Consider the following 6,517-nt stretch of genomic DNA (forward strand, 5'->3'; position numbering starts at 1 on the left):
TTTGAACTGGTTTCTGGGAGTAGAGGCCAAATAATTTGCATTTTTAACAAGCTCCCAGGTGATTCTTGTGCATGCATAATTTGGAAATGGCCCAACTTTTAAAGCAAGCAGCAACCCTTTACCACAGAGCTGTGGTACTGAGGCCTCACGGTTTGTTTGTTTGTTTTTTTTTTTTTTGAGACAGAGTCTTGCCTTGTTGCCCAGGATAGAGTGCAGTGGCACAATCTCGGCTCACTGCAACCTCCGCCTCCTGGGTTCAAGCAATTCTCATGCCTCAGCCTCCCAAGTAGCTGGGACTATAGGCGTGCACCACCATGCCTGGCTAATTTTTGTATTTTTAGTAGAGACAGGTTTTCACCATGTTGGCCAGACTGGTCTTGAACTCCTGACCTCAAGTGATCCGCCTGTCTCGGCCTCCCAAAGTGCTGGGATTACAGGCGTGAGCCACTGCGCCCGGCCAGCCTCACAGTTCTGAGGGTTACCATCAAAATGAACCAGGACATGACAGAAGCCATTTCAACCACTGGAGACGGATCGGATTCTATTCCTACATTTACTTGGAACCATCCAGCTTTCATGAAGAAGGAAGGGCTGTATGGCCAGTTGGAACCACAGAGAGAAAGGCTCCAGTTGAACCACTTAAGAGCTGGTCCTCCCATGCAGGGCGAGCCAGCCCAGACAGTGTCCTCATATGGCTTGCCTCAGGGTAGGTAAAACATAAAACCTCGACCACTTGTGCAGAGAGAGCAGCATCTTTAATTTGACCTGAACCTGACTTGCTTACCTTGCTCTGTCACTGGGGCATCTGTGCACTCACGGAGGGGGAAAATCAGTCTAGGATGGTGGGAATGAGGCTTACCATCCACAATAGAGATCTCTGAACAAAATCTTTGTTCTTCCCTAACAAAAAAGTGTGTGAAGGACAAACACTTCAAGGGCTCATTCTCATTCTCATTCTCATAGTGAGAAGAGATAAGACAGAGACCAGATCCTTCGCAACAACCCTCAATTTTACTTAGGGTCAGTGAGAAATCAATTCAGATGGTAACAGTACCCAGGACCAGCTGGGTCTGCAGTTGGCTCCTGACTCCTGACATTCTGGCTCCTGACTTTGGACCTCCCTAGTTGAGAATAAACCTGAACTAAAAATCCATGTAGTTAGGTAGTCTGGGCACAGGAAACCAAAGTGGGGTTGGAGATGCGGACTCTGTCATTCTGAATGTGACAGAGTTGAAGATTTGAGACACAGCATTGAGTGTGGAGACCTAGAGAAGGCCCCTCAGTGGAGTAGGAAGGACTGGGGTTTCCCAGTCAGCATGCCTCCCGCAAGTTTGAATATTTGTGTCCCTCTCAAATTCATACTGAAACTTAACCTCCAATGCAGCATATTAAGAGGTGGGGCCTTTAGAAGGTGATTAGGTCATGAGAGCTTCTCCCTCGTGAATAGGATTAAGGCCCTAATGAAAGAGGCTTCACACAGCCTGCCTTTTTTACTGTGTGAGGATGCAGTGACCACCTTGGAAGCAAAAAGCAGCCCTCGCTAGACACCGAACCTGCCAGCACCTTCATCTTGGACTTCCTGCTTCTAGAACTGTGAGAAAACGAATTTCTGTTCTTTATAAATTACCCAGTCTCAGGTATTTTTGTCATAACAGCACAGACTAACATACCTAGAGACTTGCATTCCAACTAGAGGCGCAAGCACACCTATAATTCTGCCCTCTCAACTCCTAATGCCAGAGATTGCTAAATAAATACTAAAAATGTAAAAACAGGCCGGGCACAGCCCAGCACTTTGGGAGGCCGAGGCAGGCAGATCACCTGAGGTCAGGAGTTCCAGACCAGCCAGACCACCATGGCGAAACCCCATCTCTACTAAAAAATACAAAAATTAGCCGGGTGTGGTGGTGGGCGCCTGTAATCCCAGCTACTTGGGAGGCTGAGGCACGAGAATCACTTGAACCCAGGAGGCAGAGGTTGCAGTGAGCTGAGATCTTGCCATTGCACTCCAGCCTGGGCAACAGAGCAAGACTCCATCTCAAAAAAAAAAAAAAAAAAAAAAAAAAGAAAGCAAAAACTGTCAAACTCAAAATAAAGGAAATCTTCTTTGACAAAGAATGGAGAGAATAATACAGCCATTAGCAGAGGCTGAGGCTATACAGCTTGAGAGAAGTAGAGACTAGTTCAGGATGGTAGGTGCTGGGACTTCAAAGTCCACGTGGGACAGGTAACCAAGTGTAACCTAGGAACGTCAAGGGACCAGAACCAGACTCTGAGAGGTACACAGGCAGGAAAAATGTAAGTTGCAAACAAAAACAGGATGACATGCAAGCAATCTAAAAAAATACTTTAAAAAATATATATGTGCAATCACCAAAGAGCTAAAGATATTCAGTCTTGCAATGAGAAACTGACTGAAAAGAAGCAAATAAGATTTTACAAATTATACATGCTGGAAATGTAAAAATACAATTATTGAAATATACTCTATGTATGGTATAAGCCCTAGACTGGAGGCAGATGACATAAAAATTTAGCAGGTCTGGAAAACAACTGAGGAATCACCCAGAATGCACCACAGTGATAAAAGAAATATAAAAAAGAAGCTAAGACAGATGGAGGATAGACTGAGAAGCTTTGGCATAATGTTTCATAGCAGTTTTAGAAAAAAAGACTAGTGAGAATACAGGGATGAGAAAACAAAGACGGTGAATTTTTCAGAACTGAAGAAAGATGTGAGATCTCAGAATCAAAGAGCTCATTAAGTTCCAAGAAAGGTACATTTAAAAAAAAAGGCCAGGCCGGGTGCGGTGGCTCATGCCTGTAATCCCAGCACTTTGGGAGGCCGAGGCGGGTGGAACATGAGGTCAGGAGATCGAGACCATCCTGGCTAACATGGTGAGATCCCGTCACTACTAAAAAAATACAAAAAAATTAGCTGGGCCAGGTGGCAGGCGCCTGTAGTCCCAGCTACTCAGGAGGCTGAGGCAGGAGAATGGCGAGAACCCAGGAGGCAGAGGTTGCAGTGAGCCGAGATCGCACCACTGCACTCCAGCCTGGGTGACAGAGCAAGACTCCATCTCAAAAAAAATAGATAGCTGGGCGCGGTGGCTCACCCCTGTAATCCCAGCACTTTGGGAGGCCGAGGCGGGCGGATCATGGGGTCAGGAGATCGAGACCATCCTGGCTAACATGGTGAAACCTTGTCTCTACTAAAAGTACAAAAAATTAGCCGGGCATGGTGGCGGGCGCCTGTAGTCTCAGCTACTTGGGAGGCTGAGGCAGGAGAATGGCATGAACCCGGAGGCAGAGGTTTTAGTGAGCCGAGATCGCGCCACTGCACTCCAGCCTGGGCGACAGAGTGAGACTCCGTCTCAAAACAACAACAACAACAACAAACAAACAAATAAATAAATAAACAGGCCAGGTGCAGTGGCTCATGTCTATAATCCCAGTACTTTGGGAGGCCAACGTGGGCAGATCACTTGAGGTCAGGAGTTTGAGACTAGCCTGGCCAACGTGGTGAAACCCTGTCTCTACTAAAAATACAAAAAAACCCAAAAACCAGAAAAATCAAAATGTAGCGGGGCATGCTGGTGTGTGCCTATAGCCTGTAATCCCAGCTACTTGGAAGGCTGAGGCAGAAGAATCGCTTGAACCTGGGAGATGGAGGTTGCAAATAGCCAAGATCATGCCACTGCACTTCATCCTGAGCGACAGAGCACGACTCCGTCTCAAAAAAATTAAAACAATTTAAAAAACCTCGTGTAGATATATTGCAAATTACGTAAGATAAAACCTAAAGGCCAGGCACGGTGGCTCACGCCTGTAATTCCAGCACTTTGGGAGGCCAAGGTGGGTGGATCACCTGAGGTCAGGAGTTTGAGATCGGCCTGGCCCACATGGCAAAACCCTGTCTGTACTAAAAATACAAAAATTAGCTGGGCTGGTGGCATGCGCCTGTAGTCAAAGCTACTCAGGAGGCTGAGGCAGAAGAATAGCTTAAACCAGGGAGGTGGAGGTTGCAGTTAGCTGAGATCATGCCACTGCACTCCAGCCTTGGCAATAGAGTGAGTGGGATTCACTCTCAAAAGAGAAAGGCAAATATAAGAACTTATTGAGAAACTGCAGGAATGAATATAACCTGTTGTACAACCATGGTTTAACTGTAGATTTTTAGCCTAGCTTTTTTTTTTTTTTTTTTTTTTTTGAGACGGAGTCTAGCTCTGTCGCCCAAGCTGGAGTGCAGTGGCGTGATCTCGGCTCACTGCAACCTCTGCCTCCCAGGTTCAAGTGATTCTCCTGCCTCAGCCTCCCAAGTAGCTGGGACTAAAGGCGCCCGCCACCACGCCTGGCTAATTTTTTGTAGTTTTAGTAGAGACAGGGTTTCACCGTGTTAGCCAGGATGGTCTTGATCTCCTGACCTCATGATCCACCCGCCTCGGCCTCCCAAAGTGTTGGGATTACAGGCGTGAGCCACCACACTGGCCTTTTTTTTTTTTTTTTTTTTTGAGACGGAGTCTTGCTCTGTCTCCCAGGCTGGAGTGCAGTGGCATGACCTTGGCTCACTGCAACCTCCGCCTCCTGGGTTCAAGTGATTCTCCTGCCTCAGCCTCCCGAGTAGCTGGGACTACAGGTGCCCGCCACCATGCCCGGCTAATTTTTTTGTATTTTTAGTAGAGACGGGGTTTCACCATGTTAGCCAGGATGGTCTCGATCTCCTGACTTCGTGATCCACCCGCCTGGGCCTCCCAAATTGCTGGGATTACAGGCGTGAGCCTCTGCACCCAGCCTGCCTAGTGTGTTTCTTTGGAACTTATCAAAATGTCTCTGGAGGCCGGGCACGATGGCTTCATGCCTGTAATCCCAGCACTTTGGGAGGCCAAGGCAGGCGGATAACTTGAGGTCAGGAGTTTGAGACCAGCCTGGCCAGCATGGTGAAACCCTGTCTCTACTAGAAATACAAAAATTAGCCGGGCGTGGTGGCACACATCTGTAATCCCAGCTACTAGGGAGGCTGTGGCATAAGAATCGCTTGAACCCAGGAGGCAGAGGTTGCAGTGAGCCGAGATTGCGCCACTGTACTCCAGCCTGGGTGACAGAGCGAGAATCCATCTTAAAAAAAAAAAAAGGCTCTGGAACATTTCATTTCCTGTTTTGTTACTGACCTGTGACTCTGTAAAAGTCTACTTTCGCAATTTGGATTAATAATTTTATGAATGCAAATTGGAGATGCTGTTCAAAAAAAAAAAAATAGAAAAGTCTTACAAAGGAAAGACAATCACAGTGATAGCAGACATCTAGTTAGCTACAGTAGACACCTGGAGTCCATTCAAACCTAGAGAAAACTCAGCCTTGAATTTGCTATCAGCTACACCATTCAAGAGCACGGGGGAAATGAAGACATTTTCAGACATGCAAAGACTCAACAGTTTGCAATGTACAAAACTTTAGTGGAAGAAAGTAGGTGTACTTAAGCAAAAAGAGAATTTGTCTAGGGGCATAAACTAATGAGAGGGAGGGTACACCTAAATACTGGCTATAAATGTAATACTAGTTTATAGTTTAAAAAGAGGCAGGAACTAAAATTCTAGAAAGCAATATTGTGAAGAGTTATTCAAGGCTGGGCACAGTGGCTCACGCCTGTAATCCCAGCACTTTGGGAGGCTGAGGTGGGCAGATCACCTGAGGTCAGGAGTTCGAGACCAGTGTGGCCAACTTAGTGGAACGCCATCTCTACTAAAAAATAAAAAATAAAAAAATCCAAAAACAGGTACTAAGAGGACAGACCTTGCATCAAATGGTGCTAGGAAAACTGGACATCCACAAGCAAAACCATACATCATATATTTTGTATATGGTGTATATACAAAAAAATTACACCATATACAAAAATTAACCCAAAATGTTCTTGCCACAAAAACAACAAAAAATTGGGTAACTACGTGAAATGATGGATGTGTTAATTTGCTTCACTATAGTAACCTTTTTACTACCTGTATGTAGCCTCATAACATCATGTATACCTTATACCAAATTAAATTGATTTAAAAAGAAATTTAACCCAAAATGGATCAAAAACTTTACTTGTAAGAGCTAAAACGATAACTTTGGGAGGCCAAGGCGGGTGGATCACCTGAAGTCAGGAGTTAAAGACCAGCCTGGGCAGCAAGGATAAATCCCGTCACTACTAAAAATACAACAATTAGCCATGCGTGGTGGCGCACGCCTGTTATCCCAGCTACTCGGGAGACTGAGGCAGGAGAATAGCTTGAACCCGGGAAGCGGAGGTTATGGTGAGCAGAGATGGCACCATTGCACTCCAGCCTGGGCAACAAGAGTGAAACTCCGTCTCAAAAAAAAAAGCTAAAACGAAAGCTCCTAGAAGAAAACAGGAAAAGCTTCATGGCATTAGATTTGGCAACGATTTCTTAGATATGACACTAAAAACACAGGCAACAAAATATATAAAGTGGACTACAACAAAGTCATCTTTTCTTAAAAAAATCTCGTTATC

The sequence above is a fragment of the Homo sapiens genome, chromosome 15, assembly GCF_000001405.40.
Source record: "Homo sapiens chromosome 15, GRCh38.p14 Primary Assembly".
Classification (NCBI taxonomy): domain Eukaryota; kingdom Metazoa; phylum Chordata; class Mammalia; order Primates; family Hominidae; genus Homo; species Homo sapiens.